The sequence below is a fragment of the Homo sapiens genome, chromosome 19 (genome assembly GCF_000001405.40).
Source record: "Homo sapiens chromosome 19, GRCh38.p14 Primary Assembly".
Taxonomy (NCBI): Eukaryota; Metazoa; Chordata; class Mammalia; order Primates; family Hominidae; genus Homo; species Homo sapiens.
In genome coordinates this window covers 10,648,612-10,675,190 of record NC_000019.10, presented here as the reverse complement: position 1 = coordinate 10,675,190, position 26,579 = coordinate 10,648,612, and the positions used below count along the sequence as shown (strand labels likewise).

The 26,579-nt window shown below is 48.6% G+C and overlaps 1 protein-coding gene and 1 long non-coding RNA gene across 27 annotated transcripts in view, besides 7 other annotated features; one reads left to right on the top strand and one right to left on the bottom strand.

Moving 5' to 3' along the window:
- ILF3 (interleukin enhancer binding factor 3) overlaps positions 1 to 20,845 on the bottom strand; it is a 38,055-nt gene extending 17,210 nt beyond the window's left edge. For 12 of the 26 annotated variants that reach the window (NM_017620.3, NM_001394813.1, NM_001394815.1 and 9 more), the window contains exons 1-4: positions 20,704 to 20,845; positions 4,583 to 4,675; positions 3,988 to 4,217; positions 3,656 to 3,833 (exon numbers count right to left, since the gene is read on the bottom strand). In NM_017620.3, the coding sequence (NP_060090.2) occupies positions 3,656 to 3,833; positions 3,988 to 4,217; positions 4,583 to 4,585 (411 nt within the window). In that variant the 5' untranslated portion in view covers positions 4,586 to 4,675; positions 20,704 to 20,845. Of the gene's footprint in view, positions 1 to 3,655; positions 3,834 to 3,987; positions 4,218 to 4,582; positions 4,676 to 8,541; positions 8,700 to 18,498; positions 20,151 to 20,703 lie in introns of those variants that run through there. The other 14 variants (NM_001394809.1, NM_001394816.1, NM_001394812.1 and 11 more) reach the window with 5 other exon arrangements.
- Positions 20,518 to 20,677: a silencer, noted in NCBI's record as "silent region_10087". NCBI's record gives its function as "represses an Ori minimal core promoter by ATAC-STARR-seq in GM12878 lymphoblastoid cells {active_cell/tissue: GM12878}" and the evidence as "EXISTENCE:reporter gene assay evidence [ECO:0000049][PMID:35858748]".
- Positions 20,758 to 20,997: a silencer, noted in NCBI's record as "silent region_10086". NCBI's record gives its function as "represses an Ori minimal core promoter by ATAC-STARR-seq in GM12878 lymphoblastoid cells {active_cell/tissue: GM12878}" and the evidence as "EXISTENCE:reporter gene assay evidence [ECO:0000049][PMID:35858748]".
- Positions 21,088 to 21,557: an enhancer, noted in NCBI's record as "active region_13983". NCBI's record gives its function as "activates an Ori minimal core promoter by ATAC-STARR-seq in GM12878 lymphoblastoid cells {active_cell/tissue: GM12878}" and the evidence as "EXISTENCE:reporter gene assay evidence [ECO:0000049][PMID:35858748]".
- On the top strand, positions 21,319 to 23,329 carry ILF3-DT (ILF3 divergent transcript). Its single transcript, NR_024333.1, has one exon. It is a non-coding gene; the product is annotated as an ILF3 divergent transcript (long non-coding RNA).
- Positions 21,798 to 21,967: an enhancer, noted in NCBI's record as "active region_13982". NCBI's record gives its function as "activates an Ori minimal core promoter by ATAC-STARR-seq in GM12878 lymphoblastoid cells {active_cell/tissue: GM12878}" and the evidence as "EXISTENCE:reporter gene assay evidence [ECO:0000049][PMID:35858748]".
- Positions 21,798 to 22,334: a biological region, named in NCBI's record as "NANOG-H3K27ac-H3K4me1 hESC enhancer GRCh37_chr19:10763533-10764034".
- Positions 21,833 to 22,334: an enhancer, noted in NCBI's record as "NANOG-H3K27ac-H3K4me1 hESC enhancer chr19:10763533-10764034 (GRCh37/hg19 assembly coordinates)". NCBI's record gives its function as "activates a minimal SCP1, AML or CMV promoter by ChIP-STARR-seq in naive H9 embryonic stem cells {active_cell/tissue: H9 hESC(naive)}" and the evidence as "EXISTENCE:reporter gene assay evidence [ECO:0000049][PMID:30033119]".
- Positions 22,335 to 22,837: an enhancer, noted in NCBI's record as "H3K27ac-H3K4me1 hESC enhancer chr19:10763030-10763532 (GRCh37/hg19 assembly coordinates)". NCBI's record gives its function as "activates a minimal SCP1, AML or CMV promoter by ChIP-STARR-seq in naive H9 embryonic stem cells {active_cell/tissue: H9 hESC(naive)}" and the evidence as "EXISTENCE:reporter gene assay evidence [ECO:0000049][PMID:30033119]".

Sequence of the window (26,579 nt, the reverse complement as noted above, 5' to 3'; positions counted from 1 at the left end):
TACATTGAAAAATCTGAAACAGGATTTCTCAACCTCAGTACAACTGACCTTCTGGGCTGGATAATTCTTGGTTGGGGGGACTACTCTGCACATGATAGGGTGTTCATCTCTGGTCTTCACCTATCAGGTGCTGACAGCACCACAGCACCCCAACACCGCATTGTCAACAGACACTACCAAATGTTATCAGGGGAGGAGAGTGATTCACCCCTCTTAAGGAACCACTGAAAATGATTTTAAAAATACCTATTATTTTCATCTTTAAGGAATAATTATTGGCCAGGCTCAATGGCACATGCCTGTAATCCCAGCACTTTGGGAGGCTGAGGCAAGCAAATAGCTTAAGGCCAGGAGCTCAAAACCAGCCAGGACAACATAATGAAACCTCGTATGTACAAAAAATTTTAAAAATTAGCCAGACATGGTGGCACATGCTTGCGGTCCCAGATACTCAGGAGGCTGAGGTGGGAGGATTGCTTGAGGCTGCAGTGAGCTGTGATTGCACCACTGTACCCAAGCCTGGGCAACAGAGCAAGAGACCTTGCCTCCCTTAAAAAAAAAAAAAAAAAAAAAAAAAAAGGTCAGGAGATCGAGACCATCTTGGCTAACACAGATGAAACTTCACCTGGTAAAGACCAGAGATGCTACGAAAAATACAAAAAATTAGCTGGGCGTGGTGGCAGGTGCCTGTAGTCCCAGCTACTCGGGAGGCTGAGGCAGGAGAATGGTGTGAACCCAGGAGGCGGAGCTTGCAGTGAACCAAGATGGCGCCACTGCACTCCAGCCTGGGCGACACAGCGAGACTCCACCTCCAAAAAAAAAAAAAAAAAAAAAAGGAATGGTTTCTCACAAATGTTTTTACTGTAGAAACATTTATGACAATTTACTTCACTTAATATCCTTGCTAGATAGAGACAAGAATAAAGTTAATTTAAGAATTACTACTATGGACGGGCGCAGTGGTTCACGCCTGTAATCCCAGCACTTTGGGAGGCCAAGACGGGCAGACCACCTGAGGTCGGGAGTTCGAGACCAGCCTGACCAACATGGAGAAAACCCATCTCTACTAAAAACATGAAAGTAGCTGGGCGTGGTGGGGCATGCCTCCAATCCCAGCTACTCAGGAGGCTGAGGCAGGAGAATCGCTTGAACCCGGGAGGCGGGGGTTGCAGTGAGCTGAGATCGCCCCACTGCACTCCAGCCTGGGCAACAACAGCGAAACTCTGTCCCGCCCCCACACCCCCCTCTGCCAAAAAATTACCACTATGGGCCGGACACAGTGGCTCACGCCTGTAATCCCAGAACTATTGGGAGGCAGAGACGGGCATAATACCTGAGGTCAGGAGTTCGAGACCAGCCTGGCCAACATGGTCTCTACTAAAAATGCAAAAATTAGCTGGACATGGCAGCGGGCACCCATAATCCCAGCTACTCAGGAGGCTGAAGCAGGAGATTCACTTGAACCCAGGAGGCGGAGGCTGCAGTAAGCCAACATCGCACCACAGCACTCCAGCCTGGGTGACAGAGCAAGACTGTTTCAAAAAAGAAAAGGAATTACCTCTATGCTGATGTACCTTCAGGAGAAAAAAAAAGAAAATTGTCACTAGAAAAATTTCACAGCTTCATCTACAATAGCTCCGCAGAAGTATCTAATGCATTTACATTAGCTCCGTATTTTAATCCTGATCTTTGTCCTGAACCCAAAATCGTCAGTCCCATGTGAAAGAACACAAATCTGCATTGTGAAAGTAAATCAGGTTTTTCTTTCCAAGGAATAAGATTCAAAGATTCAAAGGCTGTGGTGGCTCAGGCCTGTCATCAAGAGTTCAAGAACTGCCTAGGCAACATGGGAAAACCTCGTATCTACACACACACATACACACAGACAATACAAAAAATAGCTGGGTGTGGTAGCACACACCTGTAGTCCCAGCTACTTGGGAAGCTGAGGTGGGAGAAACACTTGAGCCAGGGAGGCAGAGGTTGCAGTGACCCCAGATCAGGCCACTGCACTCCAGCCTGGATGACAGAGCAAGACTCTGTCAAAGATTTATAGATGATTGTACACTTCTTTTTTGCTTATCCTATAAATAAATTCAGGGGGACTGTGTCCTGAGGAGGCAACAGCTGGCAGAGGTTCTGATGCCTCCAAACAGCCCAGCCGTGGGTCTTGGGATCCACTCCTCAGCTGCCCTGCAGCTCTGTCACATCATCTGTCCCACTTAGAGGAGGATGAAATAACACACATGAAGAGCACATCTGGCTGAGGGCCTGACTTTAGCAAACACTCAATAAACAGAAGCCATTATTTACGCAATACTTTCACAATGAAACAAATAAATGTTTTTTTTTTTTTTAAAAGATCTTTTAGCTCGGGGTGGTAGTACATGACTGTAGTCCTAGCTACTCAGGGGGCTGCAATGGGAGGATCACCTGAGCCCTGGAAGTGGAGGTTGCAGTGAACCATAATTGCGCAACCACACTCCAGCCTGGGCTACAGAGCGAAACCTTCCTCATCTTAAAAAAATAAAAACGGCCAGGCGTGGTGGCTCATGCTTGTAATCCCAGCACTTTGGGAGGCCGAGGTGGGCGGGTCATTTGAGGTCATGAGTTCAAGACCACTCTGGCCAACGTGGCGAAACCCCATCTCTACTAAAAATACAAAAATTAGCTGGACGTAGTGGCATGTGCCTGTAATACCAGCTACTCGGGAGGCTAAGGCAGGAGAATCGCTTGAACTCAGGAGGCAGAGGTTGCAGTGAGCCGAGACTGCACCACTGCACTCCAGCCTGGGCAACAGAGTAAGACTCCATCTCAAAAAAAAAAAAAAAAAAAAAAATTGTTTGTGGTGGCTCACACTTCTAATCCCAGCACTGTGGGAGGCTGGGGACAGGAGGACTGCTTGAGGGCAAGAGTTTGAATCCAGCCAGGGCAATATAGCAAGAACCCATCTCTATTTATAAAATAAAAAATAAACATATAGAAAAGATTTTCAGCTGGGCGAGGTGGCTCATGCCTGTGATCCCAGCACTTTGGGAGGCTGAGGTGGATGAATCACCTGAGGTCAGGAGTTAAGAGGACAGCCTGACCAACATAGTGAAACCCTGTCTATACTAAAAATATAAAAATTAGCTGGGTGTAGTGGTGCATGCCTGTAATCCTAGCTACTTGGGAGTCTGAGGTAGGAAAATTGTCTACCTCAGAGGCAGAGGTTGCAGTGAGCTGAGATCGAGCCACTGCACTCTAGGCCTGGGCAACAGAGCGAGACTCCGTCCCAAAAGAAAAAAAAAATTCTTTACATTCAGCTTTGGATCCAATGGAAGAGATAACAACTCTGCTATCTATCTAGCCATCCATCCAATGGAGCCTAGACGTGAAGTTTATGCCCAATGACCTCGGGCTGGTGCAGCCTGGCACACAATAGGCACGGGGTCCTTATGACCCCTGCAGTCAGGTTCCACAGAATCTCTGTGGCTTGGTGGTGTCCTGGTTGTCACCTACTGAGAAGGCACACGCACAGCAAGTGCCAGGGCAAGTGTGGCATGTGCTTCTTGGAGCACAGCCTAGCAGGACACTTCTTCCTGGGCCCCACATCCTCAATCAGCATGCCTACCACCCCCCCACCCACCTACCCGGCAGTGGTGGCCACACTTACAGCAAGCTGGATGGCCAGGTTGTCGGCCACCTTGTCCAGGAGGGCGGTTGTGGGCTTCTCCTTACACAGCAGCACCAGCTCCAGATCCAAGTCCCCCTTGAGTAGGAGGCCCTTTGCCACCAGGCCCACCCGCATCACTCCCCGCAGGGTTCTGGTCATGTGCTCCGTCTTCTGTTCCCTGAGGGACAGACCAACACCCAGCTCAGTGAGGAATTCAGTCTGACCACAACCCAGAGGTCCCCAGAGAGGCTGGAGTTTCTTAGAAAACAGGTGCCAACCTCTACCCTGGCTACCCTACAAAAAAGAAAAGGACAACGGAAAACCTCACTTACCCAGCCCCTTCTTTACTGTCGTCCTCTGGGGGCACATCCATGTTATCGGACTCTGCCTGCTCGCTGCTACCCTTTTCCTGCTCGTCTATCCAGTCGGACACAGCTTTGAGCGCCCGCTCCGTGTGGGACACCATGTTCTGGACTGCCTCCAGCTCCTCTTGTGTTGGATAAACGGAAGAATGCTTTGCCATCACATGGCGGTCATCATTCACAAAAATTCGCATTGGACGCTAGGGATGTGAGAATTAAGTTAAAAATGATGTAAAGAGAGCAAGCAGCCCAACGTTCATCTTTTAAGCTGCACAATTCAGAATGATGCTATATCGCTCGTGTGTAAAAGCAAAGCCTGCAGGAGCACAACTGAAGAACCAAGGAGGGACAAGCAAACTGAAAAGCTGTTGTCTCTGGGCAGTGGGAGTAATGGGGCACTGACTTCGTTCCTACACTATCAGAATGGAATACAGAATAGATAATATTGCTTTATAATCCAAAAGGGCTAATAAAAATGGTAATGGAAGCAAATGCTTTGGAAAAGGCTACAAACATCTCTGTACATGAGTGAAGAAACAGTATCTGTGATCAAAAACAAACTTACCATTTTTACTTCTTCTGTAGTGTCTGGAAATCAAACTTTTGCTTATCTTTTCAAATTGTGATAGAGTTCCTTGGTGTTATCAATACTTCAACTCTATAAGATCAGAAAATCTTTTTAGTTTCATATAATTTATAGGATTCATTTCAGCAGCTAGGTACACAGTAGCAAGAATGACATGTGTGCTGCCTCATGAAGGGCCTGTCAACACAGCAGGACACATCTTTATTTCCAAGTAACCACTGCTAAGCCAAGGCATTAACTACGTAACACCCTAAAAATGAAAACAGATGGTTTCTAGAAGCCAGAACTGACTTCAGGCCCACAAGCCACTCAGATGGTATTTTACTTCTTTTATCTTCCTTTACATAAATATGCCCATTTTTACAAGTATGAAAATATTAACAGCTCTCCAAAAAACACTACAGGTAGAAATGTTCACATCATGCTAGGCACAGTGGCTCACGCCTGTAATCCTGCCACTTCGGGAGGCTGAGATGGGTGGATCACTTGAGGTCAGGAGTTCAAGACCAGCCTGGCCAACGCTGTAAAACCCCATCTCTACTAAAAATACAAAAATTAGCCGGGCGTGGTGGGCACCTGTAGTCCCGGCTACTCGGGAGGCTGAGGCACAAGTATCGCTTGAGCCCAGGAGGCGGAGGCTGCAGTGAGCAGAGATCACACCACTGCACTCCAGCATGGGTGACAGAGCAAGACTTCATCTCAAAAAAAAAAAACAAAAAAAAAAAGATGTTCACATCAAAATCTTGGTGCTTGGGGAAGGAAAAGAGAGGGAAGGAGCTCTGACCTCTGATGGTAATGAAGAGGTGGAAGGAAGAAAGACATATGACAAAGGGTCCCAAAAGGCTTCTGTAAAATGAAAAAGAAAGAACCTCCCGAAAAGTGAACATTTGAAATATCAGGTGGACGATGACAACCACATCACGTTCAACTCTGAAGAGGCTGAGACAACTGAAGTGCACGACAGAATCCTTCAGGACAAACGAAGCCATAATTACTATTTCGGTCTCAGAATCATGCCGACTCCAACCTACTCAATTCCCACTCTACACAAACAGTCTGGTCCATACTGAAATCTTCCAAATGAGTAAACAACCAAAAAACCCCATCAGCATAATACACACCAGATGAATCTACCCCCTACAGGCAACTGCCAGCCCCTTCCGACTAAACTAGTTCCGAGCCAGCAGAGCAGGCTCAAACCTGAAAGGCCCAAGCATCAAGGATAAAGTCTGACATGCTGCCAAAACAAGAACTTCCCAAAATACCCAGGACTACCTAGCAAATCTAACTGCAAAATTTAAACACCCCAAGGTTAAACTTTAAAACCTAAGGGTGCTTGAGCGAGGTGGCTCACGCCTGTAATCCCAGCACTTTGGGAGGCCAAGGTGGGTGGATCACTTGAGGTCAGGAGTTAGAGACTAGCTGGGCTAACATGGAGAAACCACATCTCTCCTAAAAATACAAAAATTAGACAGATGTGGTGGCGTGCACCTGTCATCCCAGCTACTAGGGAGGCTGAGGCAGAACAGCGTGAAACCGGGAGGCAGAGGTTGCAGTGAGCTGAGATTGCGCCACTGCACTCCTGCGTGGCAAATAGAGTCTCCACCTCAAAAAAAATAAATGAATAAATAAATAAAACCGGCCAGGTGCGGTGGCTCATGCCTGTAATCCCAGCACTTTGGGAGGCCAAGGCAGGCAGATCACGAGGTCAAGAAATCGAGACCATCCTGGCTAACACTGTGAAACCCCATCTTTACTAAAAATACAAAAAATTAGCCGGGTGTGGTGGCACATGCCTGTTGTCTCAGCTACTCAGGAGGCTGAGGCAGAAGAATCACTTGAACCCGGGAGGCAGAGGTTGCAGTGAGCTGAGATCGCGCCACTGCACTCCACCCTGGGTGACAGAGCGAGACTCCGTCTCAATAAATAAATAAATAAAACCTAGGGGTCACCAGGCGCGGTGGCTCACGCCTGTAATCCCAACACTTTAGGGAGGCCGAGGCAGAGGCATCACCTGAGGTCGCGAGTTCAAGATCAGCCTGGCCAACATGGTGAAACCCTGTCTCTATTAAATATACAAAAAATGAGTCGGGTGTGGTAGCACATGCTTGTAATCCTAGCTATTCAGGAGGCTGAGGCCTGAGAATTGCTTGAACCTGGGAGGCGGAGGTTACGGTGAGTCGAGATCACACCATTGCACTCCAGCCTGGGTGACAAGAGCAAAACTCTGTCTCATTTAAAACAAAACAAAACAAAAAACCCCTAGGAGTCAAATGATGCCCCTGCAAAGCCCAGCAACAGGACATGGTGAGGTCAAAGGCTTCATGTCAGGGTAGGGATGCAGGAGGGAAGGAGTGTGAGGGGGCATGGGATGAAAAGGGCAGAAAGCCAGTCCCTGGGCTCAGTGGCTCAACATGCCTGAGACTCACACCATGGGGCAAGCCACTCGATCGATCGCCCAAGGAAAGCTTCTGCACAGACTTGGACCTGAAACCCCACTTGCCCAGCCACTAGCTTCCTTCTTGCATTAGCAACACGGAAGAGGCCCCTCTACTCTCGGCAGGACTAGGAAAATGAAACAAGTCAACCTACTTGAAGCATGCAGCACATATCCCATAGACCTAACAATTGGTACTAGATCCTACTGTTGAAAAAAATCTGCCTTCCCAGGCTGCAATGAGGGCCAGGCGTGAGTGATGTGTGTGCAAAGGGCATCCTCTCCTCCATCACCCATGTCTCTTCACCGAGCCAGAGTCAAGCTCCACAGGGCCTTCTTTCGCCACTGATTCTGCCAAGCCTGTTCCCTTGGCTATGGTTTCCCTGGATAGTCGCAACGACACTGGGAATCTTGTTCATGAAGTGAATCCTTATGAAGGAATTATAGTTACTTCAGTTAGGGGAATAATACTGTGGTTGTGCTGGAAAGAACCAACTTTAACTGTTCCACACATATTTAAGACAAATTTATGGCTAAAATTATATACCTGGTATTTGCTCTGAAATATACCAGGGAGCAGAAAGTAGAGAAGGATGAGGCCGGGCGTGGTGGCTCACGCCTGTAATCCCAGCACTTTGGGAGGCCAAGGCGGGCGGATCACGAAGTCAGGAGATCGAGACCATCCTGGCTAACACGGTGAAACCTCGTCTCTACTAAAAATACAAAAAATTAGCCAGGCATGGTGGTGGGTGCCTGTAGTCCCAGCTATAGGGAGGCTGAGGCAGGAGAATGGCATGATCCCGGGAGGCAGAGCTTGCAGTGAGTGAGCCGAGATCGTGCCACTGCACTCCAGCCTGGGCGACAGAGCAAGACTCCGTCTCCAAAAAAAAAAAAAAAGGAAAGTAGAGAAGGATGAAACAAGACTGTAGAACACTGACAGCTGTTGAAGCTGGGTGATGGATACTGTAATTCTTTTGTGCATGTTTTAAAAATTCCATAATAGATTTTTTGTTCTTAATTATTTGTAGAGATGGGTTGCTGCCATGTTGCGTGGGCTGGTCTCAAACTCCTGGGCTCAAGTGATCCTCCCAGTTCAGTCTCCCAAAGTGCTGGGATTACAGGTGTGAGCCACGATGCAAAGCCAACACTTTTTGTTTTTTTGAGAGAGTCTTGCTCTGTCGCCCAGGCTGGAATGCAGTGGTGTGATCTCGGCTCACTGTAATCTCTGCCTGCCAGTTTCAGGCAATTCTCCTGTCTCAGCCTCCCTAGTAGCTGGGACTACAGGTGTGTGTCGCCACACCCGGCGAATTTTTGTATTTTTAGTAGGGACAGGGTTTCACTATGTTCACCAGGCTGGTCTTGAACTCCTTGACCTCCTTGAACTGGGGAGGAGACTGCCATGAGCCGAGATTGCACCACTGAACTCCAGCCTACCTGACACAGCAAGAGAATGTCTCGAAATAAATAAATAAACAAAAATATAACAACAACAAAAACCTACTGAAAGCAGCTCCCGGGAGAAGTGGACCGTAATCTGCAGCAGGGGATATACCAAGTGAGCCTGGATCCTACCGGAGCGCCAGAAAGCAACAAAGCACTGGTGACTATAGCAGTCTTGTCCTGAGGACATCGGAGCTGACTTGTGAGGTGTCCCACTGGCTACATTTGGAACAAATTCAAAAAGAATCATGCTTCCACCTACATAAAGTTCTAGAATAAGCGAAACTAATCAGTGATGGGACAGCCTCTGGGGAACGGTGGTAGGGATCACATGGGAAGGGGCCCTCCCAAGCTTTCTGAGATGAAGGTTACATTCTCCCTCCTGACAAGAGTTGGGTATATGCAGTGGCCAGAATTCACTGACTGGTATACTAAAGATCTGTGCATTATTTAAAAAGAAAAAAGAGGCTGGGCATGGTGGCTCACCACGTTGGGAGCAGCACTTGTCAGGAGTTCAAGACCAGCCTGAGTGAATCTACAAAAAAAATTTTTAAAGAAAAAAATAAAAACCTAGCTGCAAATAAATACTAAATTCTTGTTAGTATGTAGAGGGAAGATTAGAACTTTCTGTTATTTAGTTGGAAATGCATCATAAAAATAAAGTGAGGCAGGAGCAGTGGCTCACGCCTGTTATCACAGCACTTTGGGAGGCCAAGGCACTTGAGCACAGTAGTTCGAGGCCAACTTGGGCAACATAATCAGACCTGGTCTCCAAAAAAATTTTTTTTTAAATTAGCCAGGTAGGCAGGGCGCGGTGGCTCATGCCTGGAATCCCAGCACTTTGGGAGGCTGAGGCAGGTGGATCACCTGAGGTCGGGAGTTTGAGACCAGCCTAACCAACACGGCAAAACCCCGTCTCTATTAAAAATACAAAATTAGCTGGGCATTGGTGGCACGTGCCTGTAGTCCCAGCTACTCGGGAGGCTGAGGCAGGAGAATCGCTTGAACCCAGGAGGCGGAGGTTGCAGTGAGCCGAGATCACACCATTGCACTCCAGCCTGGGCAACAAGAGCGAAACTCCTTCTTAAAAAAAAAGAAAAAAAAAATTAGCCAGGTATGGTGGCACCTGCCGTTAATTTCAGCTACTCAGGAGGCTGAGGGAGGAGGATCACTTGAGCCCAGGAGATGGAGGCTGCAGTAAGCCAAGACTGTGCTACTGCACTCCAGCCTGGGCAAAAAAAGTGTGTGAGACCCTGACCCCCGCCACCCCAAAAAAGAACTGTAAATAAATATTAAATTCTAGTTAATAATATGTAGAGGGAAGACTTGCAACTTCCTGCTACTTAGTTTGAAATGCATCATCAAAATAAAGTGGCCAGGCGCAGTGGCTCACACCTGTAATACCAACACTTTGGGAGGCCAAAGGTGGGTGGATCACCTGAGGTCAGGAGTTCGAGACCAGCCTGACCAACATGGTGAAACCCTGTCTCTACTAAAAATACAAAAATTAGCTGGGCGTAGTGGAGTGCACCTGTAATCCCAGCTACCCAGGAGGCTAAGGCAGAAGAATCGTTGGAACCAGGGAGGCTGAGGCTGCAGTGAGCTGAGATCGCGCCATTGCACTCCAGCCTGGGCGACAGAGCAAGACTCTGTCTCAAAATATAAAAATAAAATAAAAAACAAAAATAAAATTTAAAAAAATATATACAAAAATATATATACATATATTTGGCCAGGCATAGTGGTTCACGCCTATAACCCCAACACTTTGGGAGGCTGAGACGCGAGGACTGCTTAAGCACAGGAGTTTGAGATGGCACTGAGCTATGACTGTACCACTGCACTCCAGCCTGGGCAACAAAAGTGTAACCCTGTCTCTGATCAATCAATAAAGTGAAAAGTGAAAAGAATTATAAGTGGATGGACAAATATGTGAAACACAAGCAGTTAAATGCCCACAGCAAAACCTAGGCTGTGCATACAGGTAGGTGTTCATTAAATTTTTTATTTTATTATTATTATATTTTGAAGTGCAGTTTAACTCTTGTTGCCCAGGCTGGAGTGCAACAGCACGATCTCGGTTCACTGCAACCTCTGCCTCCCAGGTTCAAGAGACTGTCCTGCCTCAGCCTCCCAAGTAGCTGGGATTACAGACATGCACCACCACACCTGGCTAATTTTTTTTTGTATTTTTAGTAGAGACGGGGTTTCATCACATTTGTCAGGCTGGTCTCGAACTCCTGACCTCAAGTGATCTGCCTGCCTCGGCCTCCCAAAGTGCTGGAATTACAAAGGCGTTGAGCCACTGCGCCCAGCTTAAATTTTTTATTATTATTATTTTTGAAACGGACTCTCACTGTGTTGCCCAGGCTGGAGCGGAGTGGCGCGATCTCGGCTCACTGCAACCTCCGCCTCCCAGGTTCAAGTGATTCTCCTGCCTCAGCTTCCCGGATAGCTGGGATTACAGGCACCTACCACCATGCCAGGCTAACTTTTGTATTTTTAGTAGAGACGGGGGTTTCAACATGTTGGCCAGGCTGGTCTCAAACTCCTGACCTCAAATGATCTGCCCACCTCGGCCTCCCAAAGTGCTGGGATTACAGGCAGTGAGCCACTGCCCCCGGCCTAAGTGTTCACTAAAATTGTATCACCCTTTTTTCTATGTTTGAACATTTTCAAAAGATGTTACTAAAATAAAACAGATTCAACACATTAAATTTATATATATCCATAACTCCATACAGATACTTTAAAAAAAACTAACTTCCCACATTAGAGGTGTTTACATCCAAACTTCATAGTCTGAAAATTGTTAAAAGACTAAAGTTCACCCCCAGTTGATACAGACAATCTATTAAAAAAAGCCATGTGACACATTAGAGAGTTAGAAGTAGAAAATCACCCCACTATCAGGCACAGTGGCACACACCTGTAATCCCAGCACTTTGGGAGGCTGAGGCTGGTGGATCATGAGGTCAGGAGATCGATAGCATCCTGGCTAACACGTTGAAACCCCTCTCTACTAAAAATACAAAAAAATTGGACGGGAGCAGTGGCTCACGCCTGTGATCCCAGCACTTTGGGAGGCTGAGGCGGGTGGATCACGAGGTCAGGGGTTCGAGACCAGCCTACCCACATGGTGAAACCCCACCTCTACCAAAAATACAAAAATTAGCTGGGCGTGGTGGCAGGCGTCTGTAATCCCAGCTACTCAGGAGGCTGAGGCAGGAGAATTGCTTGAACCCGGGAGGCGGAGGTTACAGTGAGCCGAGATCGCGCCACTGCACTCCAGCCCGGGCGACAGAGCGAGACTCCATCTCAAAAAAAATGCAAAAAAATTAGCCAGGCGTGGTGGCAGGTGCCTGTAGTCCCAGCTACTCAGGGAGGCTGAGGCAGGAGAATGGCGTGAACCCAAGAGGCGGAGCCTGCAGTAAGCCGAGATCGCGCCACTGCACTGCAGTCTGGATGACAGAGAGAGACTCCATCTCGAAAAAAAGCCACCCCATCAACCATTGAAGCACTGAAGAACAAGGTATCATTCGGTCAAAATATCGCCCCACCCAAAATGCCTCAGAGGACACACACACGCCCCCAACACACCTGTCTTCAGCAAATGCCCTACATGTGGCTTTCCATCTGCTTTCTTCACTGTTCAAAATGAGAAACGTGGGTGTGCCCTTGCTATAACGACTGCCTCACTTCATCTTCCTCTGCTCCCCAAGGCAGACCCTTGAAAAGACCCCTGAAGGGCCTCGCTGGCCTCCAGCTTGCTCTGACCACCACAACTGGCCAGCATGCAGTCCGTTACATGCCTGGGTCCTCCTCCCTTAGACCAGGCAACAGCAGCAATGCTTTCTGACTCAGGTGGACACAATGAATAAGGGCAGTAATTATCTGAACTAAAACAAATGTTTAAAAACTAGAGTTATCGCTCCTTTTCAGGGCAACAAATCCATTCCTCTCTATGAGCCCAAGACCAATTTGACATCCAAGCCAGCTTCTTGGAATTTGTCTCACTAACTGATCCAGCAGTCTTCAGGGTGAGCAGAAACTTCCCTTTCAAGAGGATATTTAGTGAGGCACACTGCTGGCAATAAGCCTACAGCACCCACCCACACGCAACACTCCGCTGCCCCTACTAATCTAACTTTAAACGAAAGCTGCGAAACGATGAACAATGCTGTTCTTGCAACCACATTTATTCAAACCTGGCACCAGCAAAGCCTATTCTTACAATTTTTATGATTCAATCCTGGGCACCAGCAACATGCAGCTTCTCTGAAAACAAACCCAAGGCAGGATCAAGTGGTAAATGAAGTATTGGGATTTTAAACATGACTTCTTGGTGGTTTGGGATGGTTTAACACACAGGGATTCATTTTTCTTTTGTTCCTGAATCCAGCCCACCCACAACATGCAGTTACAGAAGCTTCAACCACAAAACATTATGTTTGTGGTGCAATGGCCATCTTTCTGACCTCTCACTAATTACACTATGAGGTTCATGGCACTTGTTGGAAAAGAAACATGCCCAAGTTAGTTCAGCATGAGTGGATGAACAGATGTTTGTGGAATGGACAGGTACAGTGGCAACACCCTCACAGGTATGGCCCCACCTGTCTTCGGGGTATTTCATAAGTCTTACAGCCTTCCCAGCAACTCTAGGGAATGGTCCTGAAGTGGATATTCACTTGAGAGAGACCAAATTAGGCTCTGAAATTCAGAGACTCAACCCACCTCCTGGTTTCCTGACCTCTGGAGCTGGCCCATCCTGGGCTGTGAGCTGAAATGATACACTTGAGCTAGGAGTCTTGGTGACTCCTTGAACTTTGACAGAGTCACGCCATCAAGGGCACATTGAAAATTATTCTTAGAAAGCAACCGGCCGGGCACAGTGGCTCCCACCTGTAATCCCACCACTTTGGGAGGCTGAGGCGGGTGGATCACCTGAGGTTGGGAGTTCCAGACCGGCCTGACCAACTTGGAGAAACTCCATCTCTACTAAAAATACAAAATTAGCCCGGTGTGGTGGTGCATGCCTGTAATCCCAGCTCCTCGGGAGGCTGAGGCAGGAGAATCGCTTGAACCCGCGAGATGGAGGTTGCAGTGAGCCGAGATCGCGCCATTGCACTCCAGCCTGGGCAACAAGAGCAAAACTCCGTCTCAAAAAAAAAAAAAAAGCAAGCAACCGAGCGAGGCAATGCCAGTCTAAAATCTTGCTATCAATGCCATTCTGAAATATTTAAAAATGTGAAGTCCAGTGCAATGGTTCATAGTTCAGACTGCAACAGTATTATTATATCAAAGAGCTTTTTTTTTTTTTCTCTTTGAGACAGAGTCTTGCTCTGTCACCCAGGCTGGAGTGCAGTGGCGTGATCTCAGCTCAACTGCAACTTCCGCCTCGTGGGTTCAAGCAATTCTTCTGCCTCACTCTACTGAGTAACTGGGATTACAGCCACAGACCACCATTCCTGGCTAATTTTTGTATTTTTAGTACAGACGGGATTTCACCATGTTGGCCAGGATGGTCTCCAACTCCTGACCTCAAGTGATCCGCCAGCCTCGGCCTCCCAAAGTGCTGGGATTATAGGCGTGAACCACCGCGCCCAGCCAGAAATAAAGATTTTAGTAAATATTTTCAACTTAAAGGACTGTCCTTTATTTTATTCCTATAGTTTTGGTGATAAAGACAATCTTGCTAATTATGAAAAACGGAAATGGTGAATGATCACTAATTTAAAGATATTTTCCTTGACAAAATAAAAAGTTGGCAAATACAGCCGGGCATGGTGGCTCACACCTGTAATCCCAGCACTTTGGGAGGCCAGGGCAGGCAGATCACGAGGTCAGGAGTTCAAGATCAGCCTGGCCAACATGGCAAAACCCTATCTCCACTAAAAATGCAAAAATTAGCCGGGTGTGGGGGCGGGCGCCTGTAATCCCAGCTACTCAGGAAGCTGAGGCGGGAGAATCGCTTGAACCCAGGAGGCGGAGGCTGCAGTGAGCCGACAGCACACCACTGCACTCTAGCCTAGGCGACAGAGTGAGACTCCATCTCATAAAAAAAAGTTGGCAAATACAAGTTGTTCCTCAAATGTTTCTGGAGACCCGGGACTCCAGGCTCACTAGTGTTGTGGAGTGCCCACAGTCCTAGAGTCAGAAGCCTGGAATTTGCCCCTGGGCTCTCCAACCTGGCAGCTTTGGGACCTACAGCAAATCACTTACCTTTCTGGTGGTGGGTGAAAAATGAGGATGAAAATACCACCTGCCTCAGGCTGCAGACAGCAAGGATTAAAGGTGGCACTATGGGGAAATGTTTTGTGAACTACAATACTACAAATGCAATGTATGAAGAGGATTAAATTGGGTACAGTTGTGAATGCCTGTAGTACCAGCTACTCGGGAGACCGAGGCAGGAAGATTCGTTGAGCCCAGAAGTTCAAGACCGGCCTGGACAACATAGTGAGAGCCAGTCCTTAGGAAAAAAAAAAGAAAAACATTAACTGCTCTTGGATGAACCAACAGAAATGCTTTAAAATCTGCCACCATAGAAAAACATTCAACATGACTTCAAGTGGGAATTATCAAACCCTCTTTCCAGCATGCTCTCAGGCAGCAGGGGGGCAAGGGAAGCATGGTTGAGAGATCCTCCCATATCTGGGTGGAGGCAGAAGCAATCCTTCCCCATGTATTCCCAGAGCGAAGCCTTGGATTATTTTTTTTAAACTTAGTATACAGTTCAATGTTTACTTCTCCCAGAACTGTATTTTTCCAGTTAAGATTTTTTTTTAAAAAGACCATCTCTCACATGGACATTAAATACTAACATCCAAACATGTTAACTGTTTAGTAAAACCTTTTTACTTTGAAATAACTGCAGGTCAGGTATGGTGGCTTATGCCTGTAATCCCAACACTTTGAGAGGCCGAGGCAGGCAAATCACTTGAGTGACGCCAGTTCAAGATAGCCCTAGCCAACACGGCGAAAACTCAGTCTCTATATAAAAATACAAAAATTGGCCGGGCACGGCGGCTCACGCCTGTAATCCCAGCACTCTGGGAGGCCGAGACAGGCGGATCACGAGGTCAAGAGATTGAGACCATCCTGGCTAATATGGTGAAACCCCGTCTCTACTAAAAATACAAAAAAATTAGCCGGGCGTAGTGGCGGGTGCCTGTAGTCCCAGCTACTTGGGAGGCAGAGGCAGGAGAATGGCATGAACCCGGGAGGCGGAGCTTGCAGTAAGCCGCGCCACTGCACTCTAGCCTGGGCGACTGAGCGAGACTCATCTCAAAAAAAAAAAAAAAAAAAAAAAAAATTAGAACCGGCGTTGTGACTCACACCTGTAATTCCTGCACTTTGGGAGACTGAGGCAGCAGATCACTTGAGGTCAGGTATTCGAGACTAGCCCGAGCAAAATGGTGAAACCTCATCTCTACTAAAAATACAAAAAATTAGCTGGGCGTGACGGCAGGTGCCTGTAATTCCAGCTACTTGGGAGGCTGAGGCAAGAGAAATGAGGCAAGAGAAACACTTGAACCCAGGAGGCGGAGGTTGCAGTAAGCCGAGACCGTGCCACTGCACTCCAGCCTAGGTGACACTGTGAGACTCCATCTCAAAAAAAAAAAAAAACAACACTCTGATATGAGAAACTAGTTTTATAGGCAAGCAGCAGAAAAGAAAGTGGCCTGGAAGACTTACTCATCTCCAAGACCTTTTATCTTTATCTAAGTAAGACCTTAACCTTCAGCTTCAAGCAAAATCCTCGAAAAGATAAGGACAGCTGTTGGGCATGTTCAGTGAAAATTATGTACTTCACACTGCAAAGTAGAACTTTTTTTTTTTTTTTTGAGACAGAATCTTGCTGTCGCCCAGGCTGGAGTACAGTGGCACAATCTCTGCTCACTGTAAGCTCCGCTTCCCGGGTTCACGCCATTCTCCTGCCTCAGCCTCCTCAGCAGCTGGGATTGCAGGCACCCGCCACCACGCCCGGCTAATTTTTTTGTATTTTTTAAGAGAGACGGGGTTTCACCGGGTTAGCCAGGATGGTCTCGATCTCCTGACCTTGTGATCCGCCCGCCTCGGCCTCCCAAAGTTCTGGGATTACAGGCCTGAGCCACCGCGCCTGGCCAGAACTTCTTACTATCACTTAAAATTATAAAAATAATTTGGAGCAAATTTGCATACTGTAATACATTCAACTTTATGACTAAATGATACATGGTGATCACGCATTCCACAAGAGAATGGCCCTCAGACAGTAAACATATTTTTGTCTTAAAATTAGTGCCACTGGGCAAGGCGGCTCATATCTGTAATCCCAGCACTTTGAGAGGCTGCAGGAGGATCACTTGAGCCTAGGAATTTGAGACCAGCCTGGGCAACATAGTTTAAGACCCTATCTCTACAAAAAAATAAAATTAGATTAAAAATTTAAAAAAAACTAGTAGCTACATTTTCAATGTCTTCACTACGTAAACATTTAATGAGAAGAGAAAAAAGGTAAATTCTGGCCAGGAGTGAGGGCTCACTCCAGTAATTCCAGCTTTTTGGGAGGCCAAGGTGGGCAGATTGCTTGAGCCCAAGAGTTCTGAGGCCAGCCTGGGCAACGTGGAAAGATCCTGTCTCTACAAAAAATTCAAAAAATTAGCTGGGTGTGGTGACATGTGCCTGTGGTTCCAGCTACTTGGGAGGCTGAGGTGGGAGGATTGCTTCTTGAGCCTCAGAGACAGAGGCTGCAGTGAGCGGAGATCACGCGACTGCACTCCAGCCTGGGTGACAGAGTGAGACCCTGTCTCAAAAAAAAAAATTAAATTAAATTTTAACTGGACATCACTTTTACACGATGCCTAAATACAGCTGATGCTAAATGTATCTGAATTTCCAATTGTTATTATTTTTTTTTCATACGAAGTCTTGCTCCATCACACAGGCTGGAGTGCAGCGGCACGACCTCAGCTCACTGCAACCTCCGCCTCCTACGTACAAGCGATTCGCTGCCTCAGCCTCCCGAATAGCTGGGACTGCAGGTGTGTGCCACCGTACCTGGCTAATTTTGTACTTTTTTTTTTTAGTAGATACGGGGTTTCACCATGCTGGTCAGGCTGGTCTCGAACTCCTGACGTCGTGATCCGCCCACCTCAGCCTCCCAAAGTGCTGGGATTACAGGCGTGAGCCACCGCACCCGGCCACCAATTGCTATTCATAATGGAATCACCCGTGAAGTGTTCTCATGGAAAAGTTTCACAAGGATTTATAACAGATCATAAATATCATAAAAATTTCTTAAAAATCAGCACCGATGAGGCCCCCTAACCACCACCTACCTGCCTACTCTACTTTCACAACCATTTCAACAGCAGCTTACTATGTATAATAATACAGATCGGCAATCTACTTGTTTCAGATAAAACGGACAAATGCTTCAGTAGGAAACTAAAGTTTGCCTCGTGCCTCCCAGGCCCCAAATCTCTACTCATTCATTGTGTGAAGATGACACTCAAACCACTATCTGCCTCAGATTCCAAACTTCCTGATGGAAACAAATCAAATCTTTCTCTGCCAGGACTTTGTTAAGATAAAAAGCATCCAATAAACAGAACCTAGAAGGCTGGGCATGGTGGCTCACGCCTGTAATCCCACAACTCTGGGAGACCGAGGCCGGTGGATCACCTGAGGTTCGGAGTTCGAGACCAGCCTGACCAACATGGAGAAGCCCCATCTCTAGTAAAAATGCAAAATTAGCTAGGTGTAGTGGAGCATGCCTGTAATTCCAGCTACTCGGGAGGCTGAGGCAGGAGAATCGCTTGAACTCGGGAGGTGGAGGTTGCGGTGAGCCGAGATCGCGCCATTGCACTCCAGCCTGGGCAACAAGAGCTAAACTCTAACTCAAAAAAAAAAAAAAAAAAAAAACCCTACAAAATCCTAGTTCCTGTAAAGGTTTAATAAAAGCAAGATTCAAATATTAAGGTCACAATTTCCTGGGCCATAAATGCTAATACTAAATGTTAACACTTACACATCTTTCAAAACTGCACAAGGTGAATTAACTTGCTGACAAAATGTAGCAGGATGACAAGTCCAAGAGGTATAAATAAGGGAAGGGATCACTCCTCTGGGGCCATGAAAGGTAATCAAAAGAAACCGAGAAAGGGTGACAGCAGTCCCTAAGAGAAGAGGCCCCAGCCCAAAGAAAACGACTAAAGGCTTTTCCAAGAATAGAAGACTTCTAACCCCCACATCTTGCTAAAGCCTAAAGGGTAATCTACTGTCTACCCAAAGGAAAGGGACTTACAGAAGGCTTCTTCCCCATCACTGACTCTACCTGTCCCCTACCTGGAGGCCTTAACCAGGGAGCACCGTCTGTATCTGTGTGATCAAAATATTAGCAGCTGTCCTTTGTCAACGTGGTATTTAACATGAAAATTTAGGAAAAAATAACAGACTTAGATTCCTCATGCTCAGGAATATGGGCCTTCAAGACCCTGAAAATACTAGAAGGAGCCAAAGGAATTTTTGCCTAGAGGCACCAAACAAGTTCAATCAGAAAAACCACAAACAATTAGGCACCTCTCAGCTCCAGGAAGACTCGGCTAAGCTCCAGGAAGATAGGGAGAGTGATAAATAGCGCCCAGTGGCGGCAAGGCCAAGCCTGGCAGTCATTGCTAGCCTCCAATCTGAACTAAAGAATATTCCAGACAACACTGGGGCCTGCAGACTCCATTCACAAATCCCAGGGACCAAGAGCCACCCACATAAGCAAGGGGCCCCAGCACCACGGAACAGGGAGAGGAGCACCTGCCAATGTCCTGCGGCCTCCTCCTGCTTTCCAGCTGTGAATGAGGCCCTGGTTCCCACACTTCATTCACAGTCTGGGCGGCTACTGTAACTACATCCCACGAGACCACACACAAAGCATCACGCACAAGGGACAGTGGCAGCACTCTGAGCAATCCATGGAGATTCCCATCCACAAATACCTGAGGAAAAGAGAGCTTAAAGTCCTAAATTTGAATCCTAACTTCGGATGGCACCTCGCGATTCCATGTGGACCACAAATATGCCATCACACCACTCATTTTAAAGAGAGCAAAATCTTGAAAAAGATTCAGCAGCAGTGAATTACCGGAGTCCAGAAAAAGAAACCACTGAAACCGACGCTTCGTTGCTGATCCATGTCACCTAAGCAGCAACTGGCAAACAATGTTGGAAATGTGGAGAAGAGATCCCTCATTCTCCTCAAATTTGGCCACTGAACTGGGGGAGGAGCATGCAGACCGCCGTACACCCCAAATAATTCATCCAGGCGGTGAATTAACTGGGGCAGAACCTCATGAGTAACCTCGAGAATCTCAATCGTTCAACTACTTGAGAAAATAAAGGTAGAAATGGGTTTTAAGCATCCACGTTTCGGGGCCCAGGCTTGCACCCAAGTAGATTGCCGGTCTAGAGAAGGCAAATACTAACAATCTGGAAAAACATTCAACAATGAAAACAAACTAACTAAAGAAAAAGCTGAAACCCTCTCAAGTTTTGACCCTGATCTGAGAGAGGCCTGGCTGACCAGAGATTTGGAAACCCGACGAACCCACAAAGGCTTCCTCAGCAATCCGCGTGGGAAGGGGCTTCCAAGGAGGGGGTCCGCCTCTCCGCGACCTGTGAGGACAAAGGAGGCGACTTTTCCCGCCTCGGGAACCTGGGACTCTCCTGGAATCGGGGGCGGGACCGGGACAAAGAGGAGGAGGGGGTAGGGAAGGAGTGAGGAAGGGGGGTCGCCCCGCCGCGGAACTCGGGACCCGAGGGGGTGTGTGCTCCAAGCACGTGCGCGCGTCCCCAGGACCCCCGCAACAGACAAAAGCCCAGCCGCGGGGAGGCGGCAGCCGGGGGCCCGGTGCGCGCGCACCCCCCCGCGCGTGGCGCCGCCGCCGGCCGAGGGGCCGCGTGCGGGGGGGAGCGGCTGCGCGCGCACCGAGTCCTCGCCGCCGCCGCAGCCGCCATTTTGTTTCCTCCGCACAATGGAAGAGAGTTAACGGCCGAGCGCGGGAGCGAGGCCGGCAAGGGAGGAACGGGCCAGGCGCCGGGATGAGGGAACCGGGCGGAGGCGGCGAGCGTGGGATCCCTCCAGCCTTGTCACCGCGAACCCTCAGTGGGGATCTCACTGAGGGCGGGCGGGGGGAGGGGCAGAGGCGGGAGCGGGCCCGGCCGCCGCCACATTGACGCTTACCTTGTCGGCGTCCCCTTCTTCGACCGCAGCCGCCGCCGCCGCCCTCCTGCCACAGCCCGCCGGGGTCTGCCCCCAAAAGCCACGCGGTGCGCGCCGGGCTGCTGGGTCCAACTGCAATGGCGAGAAGAGGAGGAGGAGGAGTCCGGACCGGGGGCGAGCGGGCGGGCGGGCAGGCGCGCGCCGGGGAGGTGCGGGAACACGTGACCGGCTGAAGCCCCGCCCCCTTTGACGCCGCGTTGCGCCTCGACGCAGGCCCAACCCAAATGGGAGGGAGGGGCGAAAAGAGATAAGGGGGGGGCTGAGGGGGTGGGCGTGAGTTGCACGTGGTGCAAGCGGGAGTGTTTGCGTGCGTAGTCACGTGACTTCGGCACCTTTCCCTCCGCTTTCGATAGGTTGCTCCATCATGTGACAATGGCGAATTTCGCGGTTTCCTTCGCCATCTGACAACTTTTGGCGCCTTCCCTTTGCCGTACTGGGAGTCCTCCATCACGTGACGAGGGCACGCTCTGGTTTTCGCTAAGGCGTTTTTTGAGCGGCCATTACCACGTGATGCAAGGCAAGCGTCAGAGGCGGAGCCTCCCTACGGCTGCGACATTTTGCGCCTGCGCGGCCGCCATCTTACGCCCGTCGCCCTGAGTACGTTAGCGGAAATGGCTCCGAGAGGCTTTGACGCATGTGTACCTTTTTAGTGGCGGTATCTCGGCCGGGGATTTTCGGGCTCCAGTGGAGGTGGCTATGCTCACCCCATCTCCCTTGAGAGGCACAGAAGGTTAGAGATGTGTGCGAGGAACGGCCAGGTCCAGCGTCTCCTCGTTGCTGCCCCTTGAGCCCGGGACCGGCGCCAATGCGCGCCCGGGTTCTTGGGTTCTTTCGTCCCGCAGACCTGCCTTGGTGTGGCGTCCCTGGGCCGTAGCTTCCGAAGGCTGCAGCCGACCTGGTCGGGGTCCTCTAGCCCGCCTTCCCCTTCCCCCATTGACAGATGGAGAAACTGAGGCCCAGGCCAAAAAATATCTCACTAGAGGGCTCACCGCCATTTCCTGGAAAAATTGGGGCTGGGACTCAACGGACGCTCGTCCAGCAGCAGCGCGGAGCTCCGAAGTAAAGGCGCCCGTGACCGAGTGCTTTGTCCTTACAAGCGTGGTGTTCTTGAATGCTTCCAGGCGCCTTATGAGGCCCCCGATGTACAATCTGTGCTTAACTAAACCCCACTGTCTTCCAGGGTCAGGTTGGCCATCCGCAGGCGTAGTTGCTAGGAAGGTTTGACAGATGTCCGCCTGTTGATTCAGACGTTCCCAGGATTTGGAGCAAGAAGAGCAAGGAAGGCCAGGCGCGGTGGCTCACGTTTGTAATCCCAGCACTTTGGGAGGCCGAGGCGGGCGGATCACGAGGTCAGGAGTTCGAGACCAGCCTGGCCAGCATGGTGAAACCCCGTCTCTACTAAAAATACAAAAGAAAATTAGCCGGGTGTGGTGGCACATGCCTGTAGTCCCACCTACTTGGGAGGCTGAGGCAGGAGAATTGTTTGACCTGGCAGGCGGAGGTTGCAGTGAGCCGAGATTGCGCCACTGCACTCCAGTCTGGGCGACAGAGCGAGACTCTGTCTCAGAAAAAAAAAAGAGCAAGGAGGTGTTGAAAATGGGTTTCCTGGCTGGGCGTGGTGGCTCACGCTTGTAATCCCAGCACTTTGGGAAGCTGAGGTGGGCGGATCACTTGAGGTCAGGAGTTTGAGACCAGCCTGGCCAACATGGTGAAACACCGTCTCCACTAAAAATAGAAAAATTAACTGGGTGTGGTGGAGGGCGCCTGTAATCCCAGCTAATCAGGAAGCTGAGACAGGAGGATCGCTTGAACCCAGGAGGCGGAGGTTGCAGTGAGCCGAGATTGCTCCATTGCACTCCAGCCTGGGCGATAGAGTGAGACTCAGCCTCAAAAAAAAAAAAAAAAAAAAATTCGCCAGGTGTGGTGGTGTGCGCCTATAATCCCAGCTACTCAGGAGGCAGAGGCACAAGAATGGCTTGAATCACTTGAACCTGGGAGGCAGAGGTTACAATGAGCCGAGATGGCACCACTGCACTCCAGCCTGGGCGACAGAGCGAGACTCCGACTTCCCATCTTAAAAAAAAAAAAAAAAAAAAAAAAGAAGTGTAAAGATGTGATTATGTGGCAGGGGGTAAGGGTTAAAAAGAAAACAAGAACAAGTTTTCCTCTGCTTAGCCAGCTTACTTCAAGGACAGTTATAACACTGAAAAGTCGAGGCCAAAGGAATGGGCTCCAGACAGCCTCCTCCGGAGCAAAGTTGAAAAGAAAAATTCCTTTACTGTCTCTCCTTTTCTGAACCATTAAATATGACTGTTTGCCAATGGTTGTATTTAGTAAGATTTGTAGACTCTGTTTTTCTTTTGACACAGCTGCAAGGCCAACAGCTGTGCAAAGCCACAAGTTATGCTAAGTCAGCAGTTATGCTATAGATTACATGACCTGTGACTGTATCATTAACTGCTTTTGTTTTGCTTCTGTAAGTTTGCCTATAAAAACCACACTCAGTCTTTGTTCAATGGTCAGCTTTTCAGATACAAATCCACTGAGCCGGTGTACATCTAAATAAATCCTCCTGTTTCCCGTGTCAGTCTCTCTGGTCCTTTGTTTCCTGCAACAATTACAGAAATGAGTGCCTAGCCGGGCATGGTGGCTCACGCCTGTAATCCCCACACTTTGGGAGGCCGAGGCTGGAGGATCCCTTAAGCCCAGGAGTTTGAGGCCAGCTTGAGCAACATGGCAAAACCCAGTCTCTACAAAAATTAGCTGAGCGTGATGGCCTGTGTCCATAGTTCCATCTACTTGGGAGGAGTAGGTGGGAGGATCACTTGAGCTGTGGAGGTCCAGGCTGCAGTGAGCCGTGATGGAGTCACTGCACTTTTCAGCCTGGATGGCACAGCTAGACCGTCTCAAAAAAGAAATGAGTGCATGCTGTACCCTCTGCTTTTCTATTTTATTTACATTTTACTGTGGATTTTTAATAGGTAGCATAGTCACATGATACGTCAAATGTGCCAAAGACGCCGGGCGCGGTGGCTCACGCCTGTAATTCCAGCACTTTGGGAGGCTGAAGTGGGCGGATCACGAGGTCAGGAGATCAAGACCATCCTGGCTAACACAGTGAAACCCCGTCTCTACTAAAAATACAAAAAAAAATTAGCCGGGCGTGGTGGTGGGCATCTGTAGTCTCAGCGACTCGGGAGGCTGAGGCAGGAGGATGGCATGAACTCGGGAGGCAGAGGTTGCAGTGAGCTGAGATCGTGCCATTGCACTCCAGTCTGGGCGACAGAGTGAGACTCCATCTCAAAAAAAAAAAAAAGTGCCAAAGACATGAGAGCACAAAGTCTTCCTCAGACATCCAGTTCCCTCCCTCTTAGAAGCCATTGTACAGTTTTGTTTTTTGTTTTTTGTTTTTGAAACGGAGTCTTGCTCTGTCTCCCAGGCTGGAGTGCAGTGGCACGATCTTGGCTCACTGCAAGCTCCGCCTCCTGGGTTCACGCCATTCTCCTGCCTCAGCCTCCCGAGTAGCTGAGACTACAGGCGCCCACCACCACGCCCGGCTAATGTTTTGTATTTTTAGTAGAGACTGGGTTTCACCGGGTGAGTCAGGATGGTCTCGATCTCCTGACCTCGTGATCCACCCGCCTCGGCCTCCCAAAGTGCTAGGATTATATGCGTGAGCCACCGCGACCAGCCATTGTACAGTTTTTTGTGTAACTACAGTAGAGTTTTATTTTCAGAGGTGCATAATCATATTCTTGTTTTTCACATAAATTGATAAGTTATTCTGCACCAGGCTTTTTAATTTCATTTCCTGTGCCTCAGATCTGTCTCACAAATAGAGCTGGAAATTGAAGAAAGGTTTGGTAAGATGATTGGGGCATGCACTAAGATAAAATTGGTTAAAATGCCAGGGCATGGTGGAACACACCTGTAGTCCCAGCTACTCAGGAGGCTGAGGTGGGAGGATCATTTGAGCCCAGGAGGTTGAGGCTGCAGTGAACTGAGATTGGGCCACTGCTCTCTAGCCTAGGCAACAGAAGCCCTGTCTCAAAAAAACAAAAACAAAACCAAAAAATTGGTTAAAGCTTTAAATTGTTGAAGGTCACTGTGATAATAACGAATGTTAATAACAAAGCCTAGACTGGCTTTTTTTCGGAACAGGTCAGTTTTAGTGACTTGCTTGAGCTAACAGCACTGCCAAATGGCAGAACGAGGATGGTTACTAGTTTTCTGACTCCCAACTCCAGAGAGCCTAAGGTTACTTAAAACGCTTTTGAAGATCTCATTCCGCTAAGGCGTTTCTTGCCCCAGGGACCCCAAACACAGTAAAGGGCGGATAGGGTCATGATGACAAGCACAGTCTTTGGATCAAACCCAAACCTCCTAGGGTTTGATTTGGAGGAGGACTGATTCGGAGTTAATTCAACATCAAGGGGTTGCTTCAGTACCTGGCATGGAGTTAAAGCTTCAAAAACAGTAATGGTTATGATTGTTACCTCTTGAACGGGTGCCCCATCCAACCAGAACTTCCTGAAAAATGTTGTCTTGGCCAGGCATGCTGGCTCATGCCTGTAATCCTACACTTTGGGAGGCTGAGGCAGGGGGATTGCTTGAGCCCAGAAGTTCAAGACCAGTCTGGGCAACATAGTGAGACCCCATCTCTATGTTTTTTATCTATCTATCTATTTATTTATTTTTGAGATGGAGTCTCGTTCTGTAGTCCCAGCTAGGGTGCAGTGATAACAATCTCAGCTTACTGCAACCTCCAATTCCCGAGTTTAAGCAATTCTGCCTTAGCCTCCCAAGTCACTGGGATTGCAGGCGTACACCACCATGGTCAGCTAATTGTTGTATTTTTAGTAGAGACTGGGTTTTGCCATGTTGGCCAGGCTGGTCTCAAACTCCTGACCTCAAGTTATCCACCCACCTTGGCTTCCCAAAGTGCTGGGATTACAGGCATGAGCTACTGCACCCAGCCCCATCTCTACATTAAAAAAAAAAAAAGTTTTCAAGAATAAAAACAAAAAGAAGGCTGGGGGCAGTGGCTCATACTTGTAATCCTAGCACATTGGGAGGCCGAGATTGGTGGATCACTTGAGGTCAGGAGTTCAAGACCACCCTGGCCAACATGGTGAAACTCTGTCTTTACTAAAAGTACAAAAAGTAGCTGGGCATGATGGCTGGCATCTGTAATTCCAGCTACTCGGGAGGCTGAGGCACGAGAATCGCTTGAACCTGGGAGGTGGAGGTTGCAGTGAGCCGAGATCAAGCCACTACAGTCCAGCCTGGGTGACAGGGAGACTGTGTCTAAAAAAAAAAAGAAAGGGCCAGGTGTGGTGGTTCACCCTCTAATCCTAGCACTTTGGGAGGCCGAGGCGGGTGGATCACTTGAGGTCAGGAGTTCGAGACCAGCCTGGCCAACATGGTGAAACCCCATCTCTCCTTAAAATATAAAAAATTAGCTGGGCGTGGTGGTACGCACCTGTAATCCCAGCTACTCGGGAGGCTGAGGCAGGAGAATCACTTGAACCCAGGAAGCGGAGGTTGCAGTGAGCTGAGATTGCACCATTGCACTCCAGACTGGGGGACAAGAGTGAGACTTCGTCTCAAAAAAAAAAAAAAAGGAAAAAGAAAAAAATTTTTTGAAGTAAAAAGTTTTCAGCCCAACTTTCCAATAAACCCCATCCATCAGGTTCCTAGTCCCTGGTCACCGTAAAGGATGGAAGACACAAGATGCCATCTGCCCTGTCTTGCTGAACTGCTACCCTGACCCGACCTCGCACCTCTGCCCTTGTCCTTCCACCACTCAGTGGTCACAAACCCTGTATACAACACCA